General features: G+C 40.6%; 1 long non-coding RNA gene across 2 annotated transcripts in view, besides 1 other annotated feature; it reads left to right on the top strand.

Moving 5' to 3' along the window:
• Positions 1–15,783, top strand: part of FIRRE (firre intergenic repeating RNA element) — a 139,119-nt gene that overhangs the window by 41,403 nt on the left and 81,933 nt on the right. For both annotated transcript variants that reach the window (NR_152876.1, NR_026975.2), the window contains one exon: positions 5,202–5,354. This is a non-coding gene — a long non-coding RNA (firre intergenic repeating RNA element). The remainder of the gene's footprint in view (positions 1–5,201; positions 5,355–15,783) is intronic.
• Positions 10,173–10,512: an enhancer, noted in NCBI's record as "active region_29963". NCBI's record gives its function as "activates an Ori minimal core promoter by ATAC-STARR-seq in GM12878 lymphoblastoid cells {active_cell/tissue: GM12878}" and the evidence as "EXISTENCE:reporter gene assay evidence [ECO:0000049][PMID:35858748]".

Below are 15,783 nucleotides of genomic sequence, written 5' to 3'. Positions count from 1 at the left end.
AGAATCCCTTGAATCCAGGAGGCAGAGATTGCAGTGAGCCGAGATCATGCCATTGCACTCCAGCCTGAGCCACAGAGCGAGACTCCATCTCAAAAAAAAAAAAAGAAAGAAAGAGAGAGAAAGAAAGAAAGAGAGAGAGAGAGAGAGAGAGAAAGGTCATACTTAGATACAATAGATTAAAAGTCAAAAACTGTAAAGAGAGGCAAAGAAGGTCACTGTATAACAATGAAAATGCCAATACAGCAAGAGGATATAACAATTGTATATATGTATGTACCCAACACTGGAACACAGAAATATATAAGGCAAACATTTGAAGATCTAAACAGAGTGATAGAATGGCGTACAACAACACTGGGAGACTTCAGTACTCCACTTTCAGTAATGGACAGCTTAATTAGACAAAGAAACATTGAAATTAAACTGTTCTCTAGACCAAATGAACTTAACTGACCTTTACAAAATATTTCATCCAATTGCTATAGAATATACATTCTTGTCATCAGCATATGGAACATTCTCCAGTATAGAGCATATGTTAGGCCACAGAACAAGGCTAAACAAATTTAAGAAAAGACCCGAAAATATGAAATTACTAGAATAAGAGCCTGGGGAAATGCTTTAAGACATTGTTCTGGGGAAAGATTTTTTGTATAAGATCTGAAAAGCACTGGCAATCAAAGCGAAAATAGACAAATGAGAGTAAATCAAGCTAGAAAGCTTCTGCACAGCAAAGAAAACAACAAAGTGAGGAGACAACCTACAGAAAGAGAGAATATCTTAGCAAACTATTGATCTAACAATGGAATAACAAATCACAATGTAAAACAAACTCAGCTCAATAACCAAAAACCAAATTATCTGATTTACAAATGGGCAAATGATCTGAATAGGCATTTCTGAAACAAAGACACAAATGGCCAACAGATATATGAAAATACGTTAAACATCACTAACCGTCAGGGAAACGCAAATCAAAACCATGTGAGATACCATATTACCCCAGTTCAAATGGCTCTTACTAAAAAGACAGAGAATAACAGTTGCTGGCTAGGAAGCAAAGAGGAATGCTTGTATACTGTTGCTGTAAATGTATATTAATACAGCCACTATGGGACATAGGATGGAGTTTCCCCAAAAAGCTAAAAATAGAGTTACCGTATGATGCAGCAATCCCGCTGCTGAGTATATATTCAAAAGAAAGGAAACCAGTACAGCAAAGAGATATATGCATTGCCATGTTTATTGCATCATTATTCACAATAGCAAAGATATAGAATCAACCTAAGTGTTCACTGACGGATGAATGGATTAAGAAAATGTGACATACATATAAAAAGGAAGATTATTGAGCCAGAAAAAGGAATAAAATCCTGTCATCTGCAGCAACATGAATGGAACTGTAGGACACTACGTTAAGTGAAATAAGCCAGATGCAGAAAGACAAATTATCACATGTCCTTACTCATGTGCAGGAGCTGAAAGAATCCATCTCATGGAACTATAGAGTAGAATGGTGGATACCAGAAGTTAGGAAAGGAGGGGAATGAAGAGAGGTTGGTTAATGGCTACAAAAATACAGTTGGACAGAAGGAGTAAGTTCTAGTGTTCAATAGCATACTTAGGGCGACCATAGTTAGCAATAATTTAATGCTTATTTCCAAATACCTAAAAGAACATTTGAAATGTTTCCAACACAAACAAATAATAAATGCATTAGGTGATGAGTATCCCAGTTATCCTTTTTTGGTTATCACACATTTTGTGGATGCATGAAAATATATGTACTACATAAATATGTACAATTATATGCAAATTTTAAAAATAGGCAAAGCTCTTAAATATACAATTCTCCAAAGAAGATATACAAATAGCCAACAGTTCTATGAAAGATGCTTCCATTATTAGTCTTTTCAGAAACGTAAATCAAAACCACCTGATGGTACCAATTAACACCCACTAGAATGGGAATTACTTAAAAAGAACAAATATCAGTGGAGAGGTGGAGAAGTTAGAACTCTTCTAGAGTGTTGGTGGAAATGCTAAATTGTGCACCTGCTACAGAAAGCAGTTTATCAGTACTTCAAAAATTTAAACATAGAAGGAACCATATGAGCTAGCAACTCTACTCCTATGTATACACCACATATGATTGAAAACAAATACTCAAACAAGTACTTTTATATACTCACTGTATATATTTATTAACAATACCCAAAAGGTGAACATAAGCAAACATCCATCACTTGATGAATGGATAAACAAAATGTGATATATACATATGGATATTATTCAGCTACAAAATGAAATGAAGTACTGACATATATTACAACATGGATGAAATTTGAAAACATGCTAAGTGAAAGAAGAAAGAAAAAAGGCTACTTATTGTGATGATCAGTAGTGAGGGAAAGTAGATTAGTGTTTGCTAGGAGCTGGGCAGAGAGTGGAATGGGGAATGACTGCTTAATGAGTTCACGGTTTTCTTTTGTGGTAATGAAAATTATTTGCCACTACACAGAGGTAGTGCTTGCACTGCATTGTGAATGTACTAAATGCCACCAAATTTGAACATTTTAATGGTTATTTTTATGTTACATGAATTTTACCAACACAGTTTCAAAAAGTGCCAATATTTTTAAACCTATCATTATTTCCAAGAATAATTAATTACATTTGAAAAGTACTCAAGTTATCAGTGAAGAAAACTTGTTTCAATGATTATACTACAGGGGAATTTGAACATTAGTTTATAAATGTACATATTATATGTGCATAGGAAAGAGATCATAATACATAGCATAGATATTTTAAAAGTGATTACTTCTCACTAGGTTTGACCTACCATATGTTTTCTGCTTGTAATTTCTTAAAGTTTTTCTAGAGTAAAATATAAAAAAACTCAAGCACTCAAAAGTATATATTGATATGGATATATTCAAAGATTATAAGGTGATGCCGAAGATTTTGTACAAAATTGCAAACAGTATGAATCCAATTATATTGAATGTAAAATGTGTGTGGGACTGTGTGTATTCATATCTGTTTATATGCATATACAGATTTAAAAATGCCATATATATATTTTTTTAGACAGGGTCTCGCCCTGTCATCCAGGCTGGAGTGCAGTGGCATGATCGTGGCTCACAGCAGCCACGACCTCCCTGGGCTCCGGTGATCCTCTCACCTCCACCTCCTGTGTAGCTGGGCCCACAGGTGCATGCCACCACGCACAGGTATATTTTGTATTTTTTGTAGAGACAGGGTCTCACTAAATTGCCCGAGATGGTCTCAAACTCCCGGGCTCAAGCAATCCTCCTGCCTTAGCCTCTCAAAATGTTGGGATTACAGTCGCGAGCCACCACACCCAGCCAATGGCATATATTTCAAATCATGGTCAGTGTTATAGTGAGTATATGTTTGAATATGATATTTTTGGCCAACAAATTCATATCTTTAATTCATAGTTATATAAACAGACATTAATGAAACATTGTAGCTGCATGTGAGTGGTGTGAATACATCCATCTTACAGTTTTCTTAGGGTTCACATCTAAGTGACTGAATGTGAGAGATGCCTAATTCAATTATCATGTATTGGATGTTGTTTTGCTTCTTTTGAGTTTTTAAAGATAAAATTTGAAGGTAAGAATTAGAGCTAAAATCTCAAGAATAATCTTAAAATCCTAATTTTCAGAGGTATAAGTATGTATAATATACATATTTATATGATATGTAAATATTTATGTGTTTATATACATATAAACACATTTTTAGATTAAAAAGAGCAAACAACTTATTTTTTAATGACTAGTATAATCACGAAGTTCTTTGCAAATAATTTATTGTCTAAAATATAGAAATTGCAAATTTTATATGACAATGTCAAAAATTGGTCAGGAACCAAATTTTAGAATGAAAATTTTTACTTTACAATACATAGCTAAATCCAATTTTTTTTTTTTTTTTTTTTCTGAGACAGGCCCTCCCTCCGTTGCCCAGGTGGGAGTGCAGTGGTGTGATGTCAGTTCACTGCAACCTTGGCCTCCCGGATTCAAGCGATTCTCCTGCCTTAACCTTCCGAGTAGGTGTGATTATAGGTACTCGCCACCACACCTGGCTTATTTTTGTATTTTCAGTAGACACGGCATTTCAACATGGTGCCCAGGCTGGTCTCAAACTCCTGACCTCAAGTGATCCGCCCGACTCGGCCTCCCAAAATGTTGGGATTACAGGCATGAGCCACTGCTCCTGGCCTGAATCCAATTTAAATGTAAATTTACTGTGGTGTTTGACTGTTTGACTGTATATATAGAACTTTTATCTATGTATTGAAAGTGGGAGCAAATACGAAAAAGGGTATCAGTGTTTTTTATTTTTATTTTTTGAGACGGATTCTCGCTCTTGTTGCCCAGCCTGGAGTGCAATGGTGCGATCTTTGCTCACTGCAACCTCCACCTCCCGGTTCAAGCGATTCTCCTGTCTCAGCCTCCCGAGTAGCTGAGATTATAGGCATGTGACACCACGCCCAGCTAATTTTTATATTTTTAGTAAAGGCGAGGTTTCGCCATGTTGGTCAGGCTGGTCTCGATCTCCTGACCTCAAGTGATCCGCCTGCCTTGGCCTCCCAAAGTGCTGGGATTATTGGCGTGAACCACCGCGCCCAGCCTTCAGTGTTTAATACACAGTTGTATGGCATTGCTTTTCTCTTGATCACCACATTTTTTTTAGCTTCTTTGCGAATCCCACCTCTTTGTTACTAATGTGAAAATACAGGACTGATTCCTAACTGATAAACAGTAACACACATACACAGCAAACTCATAGGACATAGTTGTAAGCCATTGCAGTTTAATGACCCAGGAAAATGTTTGTGTTACACTGTTATATAATGAAACTGTAAGACAAAATCCTGGGATCCATCTGATTAGCATTTATAGTCATTCCTGTATTTATGTACATTCAAGTAGGGTTGTGTGTGTCTGTCAAGCTTGAGAGCTATCTGGACTCTTATGTTAGAGCCCCACTAAATAGCGACCTCCCTCTCAACATACAAGGCCTACTGACTAGGTCTGAACATGGAGTAAACCTCCCAGGGAACCTGGGTAGGGAGTCAGGAGAAGAAACACGTGGCCTGGTGCCCAGATTTGCTGTCCTCCAAGACCTCAGATGTCAACATGTTTTTTTTCCTTTCTCTTTAGACATGGATCCCTGAGGTCGGTCCCCAATACGACAAGACAATTTGATATCATAATAGAACACTGCAGAAACAATGCTGAGTGAAGAAGAGTAGAAATGGGAAGACTTGGTTGAGCGGAAACTGAGTTCTTGAAAAGAGGAGATGCTTGATGAGGGTGAGTGGATTACACCTCAGTTTAATATCCAGCAGAAGCCAAAAGTGGAATACCATTACGCAAATGTAGCAAAATGTTAGGTAGCCATAGTTTCTGGTGTCTTTGTCTCTTCTTGGCCTTTTTTTTGAAACGTGATGGGCGGGAGAAGAGCTCCTGGAGCAAAGTTAGTTGGCTTTTCTCGTACAATACTGCCATCGTGCGGAAATAGTTTCATAGCGTCCAAAGCCGTGAGCGTTTCCTGCATGTAAGCCCTAGCAGTTGCGGAAGGAAAAGCCACCCAAGACACAAGTTGGCATTCCTACCCTTTTCTCTGAGGCCTAGCATAAGCAATAGACAAATGCAAAGTCTTAGTGAAGTATCTGCTGAGTGAGGGACCAGGACTAAGCCAACTGTTTCCAGGAACTCCTGGTACAGGAAATAGAGGACAGGGCCTCAGTTTCCTCATAGTGGGGACAAGACTAGAAGATGACAGAGCCAAGTGCAGACCCCTGGGGCATTTATGTTATGAATATGCCCTTGGGAGTTTTAGGCAATCTGGCTGTCCCTGTGTTATGCAGCTGTGACATTTATAGCAGCATCGTTAGATTGCAATGGACAGGACAGTTCCAGGGACAATCTATCTGAAGCCAGTGTCATTCACATGGTCCTCGATACACAAAAATTCTAAACACCATTGCCTACAACTAGAGGGACCTCTATAGAGGAGTGAGGATACACTGACATGCCTATGTGGGCCAGATCATCTTTTAGCAGAGCCGATTTGCTGAAGTGGATGAAGGCCAAGAATGTGATGGAAGGCCTAAGCAATTATCTGAGCGCACAAGCCAGCAGCTTCTGTGACTTTATAAGTTCAGGAGAAAGTCTTTTGTCATAATGGGACCCCGATGACATCTCATTTCTGTCAAGGAGGCCACATAGGTAGCTCTCTTCTGTTGGATGTCCCTGAGAAGGATGGCATTGTTTAGGCCTGAGCAAATCATTATTTACCTCATCCTAGCTAGTATTTTCTGTATCAGCTTCAAAGCTATTTCCTGATGAAGACATACAACCTTTGGTGTGGAGACCTCCAGAAACTCTATGACTCATAATTGAGGAATCAATAAGAGTGGCTAAAATTGTATGGGTGACTTATTCCTCATGACATTCTTCCTCAGAATTTATTATTTCAGTATCTGAATTCTTAATGAAAGGAATTAATGTTAGTCTGGTTCTGCACTGTGACATTACAGTGCTTCAAGAGCTTGTTCAGGTATGACCTCTCCTGGCCTCTGAGGATTCAGGCAGGCATTCCAGGGTAAGGCATTCTAGGGTAGCCTGGCTTTTTTGACATCTTTGACTGTGTCTAGCTCTCTCTCTAGCTGGTTTTGTTGAGTTGAATGATGATCTGCAGACATAGATACTATTGGCATGCATGAATGCCTTGGAGACGCTAGGGGAAGCATTTCTCCATGATCCTTGTTCCTGGAAAGGACAAAAAGGATATCTTACCTCCCCAGAGTATTTCACCTAAAATAGACTTAGACATCTGCTAAACTGCCTCCTATGGAGGAATAGTTTGACTCGACCATTTTCATGGAAGAATACAGACCTACCTATGGAACAGTACCTCATATCTGAAGGTAGAAAGGCTGGTGGTGCCAATCCTAGAATTCTTTAGGCTAAGTGGTCTTTTATTCACCCCTTGCTAACTATCTTTAATAAAGAGGCTATGTGCCTGGGCAGTGGATGGAAGCCTGGAAAGGAAATCACACCTAGCCAAGTTCCAGTGGTAGTGACAAGGAGGTTGATTGGTTTATTCTGCAATGAAAGGTAGTGTGGAGGGGCAATGAGCCTATCATTCCCATTTAGGTTGGGTACATGTCATTCATCTACACCAGATAGTCCCTTTATCCTTCACATTTTTTTTTTTGAGGCGGAGTCACCTTCTGTCACCCAGGCTGGAGTGCACTGGCATGATCTCAGCTCACTGCAACCTCCGCCTCCCGGGTTCAACCAACTCTCCTGCCTCTGCCTCCCAAGTAGCTGGGATTACAGGCATGCGCCACCACACACAGCTAATTTTTGTATTTTCAGTAGAGACGGGGTTTTCACCATATTGGCCAGGCTGGTCTCGAACTCCTGTCCTTGTGATCCACCTGCCTTGGCCTCGCAAAGCGCTGGGATTACAGGCATGAGCCACCGTGCCTGGCCCATCACAAGATCTTAATTGCATTCTCTGTGGCCTCATAAACAGCCATTCCCTGCCTCTGATTTAGGGAGAAAAGAAAAATTATAGAACCTTGAGGATTAAACTTACCACACGGTAAGATAAATGACAAAGTAAAGTGTATGTTACTCTACTTCTAACATGTCAGAACCTTAAACCAAACATGTAGTCAAATATGTATTCTAGAGAGCCAAAATGCACATTGTGATGCATCTGTTATAATTTAAACAAAAAATTGGCCAGGTGCAGTGGCTCACGCCTCTAATCCCAGCACTTAGGGAGGCCAGGGTGGGCAGATCACCTGAGGTCAGGAGTTTGAGACCAGCCTGACCAACATGGAGAAACCCCATCTCTAATAAAAATACAAATTTAGCCGGGCCTGGTGGCGCATGCCTGTAATCCCAGCTACTTGGGAGGCTGAGGCAGGAGAATCGCTTGAACCTGGGAGGCAGAAGTTGCGGTGAGCCGAGATCAAGCCATTGCACTCCAGCCTGGGCAACAAGAGCGAAACTCCATCTCAAAAAAAAAAAATTATAAATAAATAAATACTGTCTACTTTTCTAAAGGAATGTTTTTGAACATATATTTTTCAGATTTTCCTTCATTTACATTGAAGGCTTGAAATGTTGAAAACAACACTTAGTATTGATGATATTTAAATGAATTCATGCTCCTGAAAGCTTTGTTAAAATATACATGTGATCTGCTCCAAACTACAATGTAAAGTGTAACCCAATTTCAATACAGATTTATTATTTGCATGAAATTAGGAATGTATCTATAGCTGGGTGCAGTGGGTCACACTTGTAATCCCAGGACTTTGGGAGGCTAAGGATTTTGGATGCCTTGAGGTCAGGAGTTCGAGACCAGCCTGGCCAACATGGCGAAACCCCATGTCTACTAAAAATGCAGAACAATTAATCAGGTCTGGTGGCCTGCGCTTGTAATCCCAGCTACTAAGGAGACTGAGGCAGGAGATTTGCTTGAACCTGGAGGTTGCAATGAGCCGAGACTGCGCCGTTGCACTGTAGCCTGGGTGACAGAAAAAGTTTCGCTCCCCCCAAAGAGAAAAAGTGTATGTGTGTATATATATATATATATATATATATGTATATATTTCTCTATGTGTATATATATATGTATATATTTCTATATATATATATATGGAAATACTCCATATATATATTATATATATATGGAAATACTCCATATATATTTTATATATATGGAAATACTCCATATATATATTTTATATATATGGAAATACTCCATATATATATTTTATATATATGGAAATACTCCATATATATATTTTATATATATGGAAATACTCCATATATATATTATATATATGGAAATAATCCAAATGGTTATTTTTTGCCTTGACAAATTGTATCGTAGTGCTTTTCATCTTTATTAGTACATTGATTTTTCTCAATCTTTGTCAAGCATTATTCTTTAATTAACCAGTAGGAGAATACTGTAAGACTTATATCTAAAATACAAATTATTTAAAAATAGACACACACACACACACACACACACACACACACAAACAGACACACCACTTAAAGTCTCAGGAAATACCTGAAGAATATGTAGTGTCATGGGATCATGCCGTGTTTTGATGTTAAATGATGAGACCATGAGATGAAACTCTGAGTAACCTCGACAGGAACTGAACATATGTAGTATGAGTATCATGCCATGTGGAGCACATATGGCATGTAGCAATGACAGCTTTCTGGTTCCTCCTCTATGGTTCTTGCCAAATTGTTGCCTACAATGCAACACATGCGGTAGAACATGAAGAACTTCCTGGTTGTCGGGAAGGGGAGCCAGGTCAGAGACCACCAAGGTCTGTAACTTGTTTGCTGGAAAAGATCTCCTCTGAGGTTCAAGCAGTTTTATCCTTGTGCCCTCATCCCCAAATTTATCCCCTGAGGAGGCAGTTTGATGCCATGGAGACTACTGGACCTGTAAGTCTGAGGTAATTCATAATCATATAGACTAGGTTAGGAAGATTTTAAGTTTCTGAAGGAGTAAGATTCCCGATGAGGGTGGGTGGTTTAGGCCTTGGTTTGATTTCAGATGGGAAACAAAAGTGACACAGTAAGACCAGATGACTCCAAACTGGGCAAAAAACAAGGCAGCCATATTTTCTTGTGCCTTTGTGTCTGGGTGGCGTTTTTTCAGACAGGGAGGGCGGGAGAAGAGGGAATCCAAGACACATCTTGGCACATCTAGAGCACTAGTCCCATCGTAAGGTGATAGTTTAAAGACACCCTACGCCACGTCAACGTCCTTCCCCTGAGGGCTACCTGTTGGAGAAGGTCTGGTCTGTGGGGAGGTAGAAAAGGCCTGGGATCCATGCTGATCCTCCTTGCCTTCTCGTCTAACGCCTTAAAAGAGATTTGGACTTTGGCGGTGTCTTGGTATAGAACCTGGATAGTGAAGGAAAGCAAATCCTGTAAATTTCCCTTGGAGGAACCCTGTCAATTGTGGGCGGATACTGATGCCGCAAGAGACCCAAAGACCTGTAGCAAGATGACACCATGGGAAAGCCCGCCAGCTCTTGCTCTAAGGGGCAGGAACAGGAGACAGATTCCCACAAGAGCAAGAATTCGACTTTGAGTGGGTTCCTGCTGTCCTGCCCAAACCAGGAGGAACCGAGGCCCCGCTCCCGACTTCCTGTGCCGGGGCCGCCTGGCAGCCGCTGCCTCACTCCAAGCCCCTTACTGTCCAGTTTCTACACCAAGATACCGTCAATGTCCAGAGCTCTCTTAAGACCTGAGAGGAGAAGGCAACAAGACCTAGTCTGGAGCCCAATCCTCTTCCACCTCGGCCCAATTGAGACCTTCCCCCATAGCTTCCTGGGAAGGAGTGTGTGATGGCGGATTCTGTCTTTAAACAATTTCCTCACGGTGGCAGTAGTGATTCACATTTTTCATGGAAGCCCTATCTTGGCGCACTCTTCCCCCGCCTTTTATGTCTGAAAAAACGCCACTCAGAGGAAAAAGGCGCCACCAAATCTGGCTGCATGGAGATTTGTCCTGTTTGGTGCAACCTTGTCTTACTGTTGAATTTTTGCTATTTTTCTGTCCATCTGAAAACAAAATGAGGCCTGAACTACCCATGCTCCTCAGGAATCTTGTTCTTTCAGAAATTAAATATACTCCTCACTGTGTCTATCTGGATAGGATTTACTTCACACAGTTACAGTCCAGCAAGTTCCATCTGGATAGGATTTACTTCACACAGTTACAGTCCAGCAAGTTCCATGGCATCAAATTGTCTCCTTCAGGTGATAAACTTGGTGGATAAAAGTGCAATAAGGAAAAAATTATTTGAAACTAGGAAGAGATCTTTGGCAAACAATTTACAAATCCTGATGGTCTTTGACCTGGTTTCCCTCCCAGAAAACTAGGAGTTCTTCATGTTCTAGCCTCAAGTGTTGTTTGTAGTCAACAATTTGGCATGAGCCACAGAGTAAGGACCAGATAGCAGTCATAACTCCCTGGCCTATATGCTCCACATGGCGTGATCCTCATAGTCCCTATGTTCAGTTCCTATCGAGATCACTCAGTTTCATCTCATGGTCTCAACATTTAACACCAGAACACAGCATGTTCCCATGCATTACATACTCTTCAGGGATTTCCTGAGACATTAGATGCTGTGTGTGGGGGGGATGGGTGTGTGTGTTCTGTCCTGTCCCTTGGAGCAAGAGTTAGCAGGCTTTCAGGCAGTGTTACTGTATCACAGTCCTTTGTTGCAGCAGTATGAGAACACCAAAGACAGGCCTGTTCCAGGTGTGATAAAGCAGGAGCCAGTATGTTTGCTGATAGTCTCAAGGGCATCTAGTTGTCTAAAGACTGAAAGGACCTAAAGTTTTACATCTTCTAGTAGAGTTGTTTTTTGGTTTTGTTTTTTTAGATGGAGTCTTGCTCTGTCGCCCAGCCTGGAGTGCAGCAGCACGATCTCAGCTCACTGCATCCTCCGTCTCCCAGGTTGAAGGGATTCTCTTGTCTCAGCCTCCCGAACAACTGGGACTAAAGGTGGGTTCCACCAAGTTCGGCTAATTTTTGTATTTTTAGTAGAGACGGGGTTTCACCATGTGGGCCAAGCTGGTCTTGAACTCCTGACCTCAGGTGATCATCCCGTTTTGGCCTCCCAATGTGCTGGATTACAGGCGTAAGCCACTGTGCCCGGCCATTCTATTTATTTATTTATTTATTTAGTGGAGTTGTTACACATAAAGGGATGGGAAACAAAAGGAGTGAAAAGGATTGAAAATTAATCCACATTTTAAAAGTGCTTGTCTGTGGGAGGTAGCATTACCCATGATCTCACTTTGTTAGCGGTGGCAGTGAACCGAGTTACCCCGAGTAACAGGCGGCATATCCATATAGGTCCAGAGGAACTTCAGTCCTGGCGCCTCAGAAGAAAGAACTTCACTGAGGAGCATAAAGCAGGAAAAGAGACTGAGGCAAGATTCAGAGCAGGAGTGGAAGTTTATTTAACAGGCTTTAGAACAGGAAAGAAAGGAAAGAAAGAACCCTTGGAAGAGATCCAAGTGGGTGCCTGAATGGCCAAGAGAACAAAAAGACCTTTTAACCTTGATCATGGGACCTTATAGGCTTACCTCTTGCTCATGATTCTTCCTTTAGGGTGAGCTTTCCGCATGCGCAGTGCCCTCCTTACCCTTTGGAATTGAGCACTGTGCAGTGTGTTTAGGGAGTTATACACATGCCCATCTGAGGCTTTTTTCTTTTTTCTGGTGGCATGTACCCGGAACATCATATTTCGCCATTTTGTGTCTTAATACGCATGCCCAAGAAGCTGCTTCTCCCTGTGGCCTGCATTCAATTCGTACTTTTAATATTAACAGATGTGGATCATCAGGAGATTGTCTCTCCCAGGCTACCAAATTATCATTTTTAGAGGGGCAATGTGATCATTGCCGAACCATCATGTGACATTCCTACTGGGTCAGGGAGAGCCCTTTCCTGCCGTGCTCATTGCCTATCTATCTGTAACTACTTTTTCATATGTGACTATTTTGTCAGGCACATTTTGAAGAAGGATGAGTGTTCCTACAAATTCAAAAACAGGTAGCAAAAGTGACATCAATGACAATGGTGCAGTAGACACTTTCTGTAGTCCATCTCTCCAGAAAAGCAACTCAAAACAATCTATAATATGTAATTAGAAGATCATTTTCTCAGCACGATATATGGGGCATTTATTAAAACCTACAGCTAATAATATAGTCAAGAGGTAGACTGAAAACTTTGCTCCTAAAATCATGAACAGGAGAAAAATGCCCACTTTTGCCGCTTCTCTTAAACATTATACTTAAAATCTAGCTGGGGTCATCAGGCAATGAAGATATATAAAAAATATCCCAGTTGAAAAGAAAAAATGGAAATTATTTCTCTTCACAAATACAGTGATCTTATAAAAAATGCTGCCAGGCGCAGTGACTCGCACCTGTAATCCCAGCACTTCGGGAGGCTGAGGCATGTGAATCACCTAAGATCAGGAGTTCAAGACCAGCCTGGCCAACATGGTGAAACCCCGTCTCTACAAAAATACAAAAATTACCCGGGCATGATGGCGGGTGCCTGTAATTCCAGCTACTCGGGAGGCTGAGGTGGGAGAATCGTTTGAACCCAGGAGGCAGAGGTTGCAGTGAGCCGGAATCGTGCCATTGTACTCCAGTCTGGGCGACAGAGCAAGACTCCAGTCAAAAAAAAAAAAAAAAGCTCAAAAACCCAGAAAAACAGTATTAGAGGTAGTGAACAAGATCCAGCAAGCAACTGCAGGACAGAACATTAACTTGGAAAAATCAGTAGTAGTTGTGTACACTAGCAATGAATAATCTGAAAATTCAATTAAGAAAGCAATTCCATTTACAATAGCATCAAAATGAATCATAATTTCAGGACAATAATTAACTAAATAGATGAAAGTCTTGTACACTGAAAATCACAAAATAATGGAGAAGTTAAAGATAACCTAAATTTTAATAAAGAACATCCTGTGGTAATGGGTCTGAAGACTAAATATTTTTAACGTGGCAATACTACCCATAGAGATCTATAGATTTAATGTAATCCTTATTGTTATCCAATGAGCATTTTTTTTGTAAAAAAGGAACACAAATCCTAAAGATCCTATTGAATTGCAAGAGATCTGAATAACCAATGTAAACTCTGAATAAGAAAAACCAAGGTGGAAGACTCACACTTCTGGATTTCAAAACTTATTAGGAAAGCTGGAGTAATCAAAGCAGTGTGATAATCAAATAAGAATACACACAGTGATTAATGGAAAAGATGGAGAGCCTGGAAATAAACTCAGACACTGTGGTCAATTCATTTGTGACAAAGTTATTAAGGTCATTTTATGAGTAGTTAATAGAGTCTTTAACAAATAGTACTTAGACAACTGGTTATCTACATGCAAAAGGATGAATTTAGACCTCTACCTCACATTATATGCAAAAATTAACTCAAAATATATCAAATTTCTAAATATAAGAGCTAAAGCTATAAAACCTTCAGGGAAACTATAGGGATACATCTTCACAACTTTAGATTTGGCAATGATTTATTAGCTATACCACCAAAAGCAGCAATGACAAAAGAAAAAATAAATTGGACTTCCCTGAAATTAAAAACTTTTTGCATCAAAGTACACAATTCAGAACTTGAAAAGCCAACTTACAGAATGGGAGGAAATATTTCCAAATCAATTATCTAAAAACTTCTAATATCCAATAAAAACAAATAACTCTTAAAACTCAACAATAAACAGACAAATAACCCAATTTTTAAAAAATAGGCAAAGGGAGAGTGATATCACCAACATGGTATAGCAGAAGTGATCTGACTTTACCTCAAAGAAAAGTAAAAACAGCTGTGTAGAGACAAGATTACTAGAAGCAATATTCCAGAACTGAACATTGAGACTGTGACTATCCATGGGGCTATAAGGAAGTGAAAAAGTATGAGCAGCTAGAAAGACTAATGGACTTCTCTCTCCATGACTCCCCAACCCAAGGCTGCTAGGCACCATGTAGAAAAGTCCCCCTTGACTGGGCGCGGTGGCTCACGCCTATAATCCCAGCACTTTGGTAGGCCGAGGCAGGTGGATCACCTGAGGTCAGGAGTTTGAGACCAGACTGACCAATATGGTGAAACCCCGTCTCTACTAAAAATACAAAAATTAGCCGGGCGTGGTGGTGTGCCCCTATAATCCCAGCAACTCGGGAAGCTGAGACAGGAGAATTACTTGAACCTGGGAGGCAGATGTTGCAGTGAGCCCAGATTGCGCCACTGCACTCCAGCCTGGGTGACAGAGTGAGATTCCATCCCCCTGCTCCCCCCCCCACCAAAAAAAAGGAAGAAAAGAAAAAAAGAAAAGTACCCCTTGGTTCACAGTTTCCTCTGTAAAATGTGAGATCAAGGCAGAGAGCTAGCTTCTCTCCCATTTTGGTGTCCTTTGCAGGGATCCTATTCTTGCCTCAATCCCTAGGAGGCATCCTGACTGCCTGTAGGAGGAAAAATCCCTGAGGGGGTAGTCTGAGACTGAAAGTGGAGTTGAAGCTAGCAACCCCAGTGCATTAAATCTGGGGACTTCTCTTTTACTCAGGCAAAGAAGATCTCAAACCAGAGCGGGACATCAGCAACAACATGAAAATGAACAGGAATGGAAAAAGAACAGGAAAGGCTAGACTTATATAAATTAGATTAAAGTCAAAAACTGTAGAGAGAGACAAAGAAGGTCACTGTATAACAATAAAGATGCCGGCCGGGCGCGGTGGCTCACGCCTGTAATCCCAACACTTTGGGAGGCCGAGGCGGACGGATCATGAGGCTAGCAGATCGAGACCTTCCTGGCCAACACGGTGAAATCCCGTCTCTACTAAAAATACAAAAATTAGCCGGGCGTGGTGGCAGGCGCCCGTAGTCCCAGCTGCTCCAGAGGCTGAGGCAGGAGAATGGCATAACCTGGGAGGGGGAGCTTGCAGTGAGCGGAGATCGCGCCACTGCACTCCAGCCTGGGCGACAGAGCCAGACTCAAAAAACAAACAAACAAAAAAAACAAAACAAAACAAAAAATGAAGATGCCAATTCAGTAAGAGGATATAACAATTTAAAATATGTACGTACCCAACACTGGAACACACAAATAGATAAGGCAAACATTTGGAGA

The sequence above is a fragment of the Homo sapiens genome, chromosome X (assembly GCF_000001405.40).
Source record: "Homo sapiens chromosome X, GRCh38.p14 Primary Assembly".
Lineage (NCBI taxonomy): Eukaryota > Metazoa > Chordata > Mammalia > Primates > Hominidae > Homo > Homo sapiens.
This window is presented reverse-complemented; position numbering and strand designations above follow the sequence as displayed.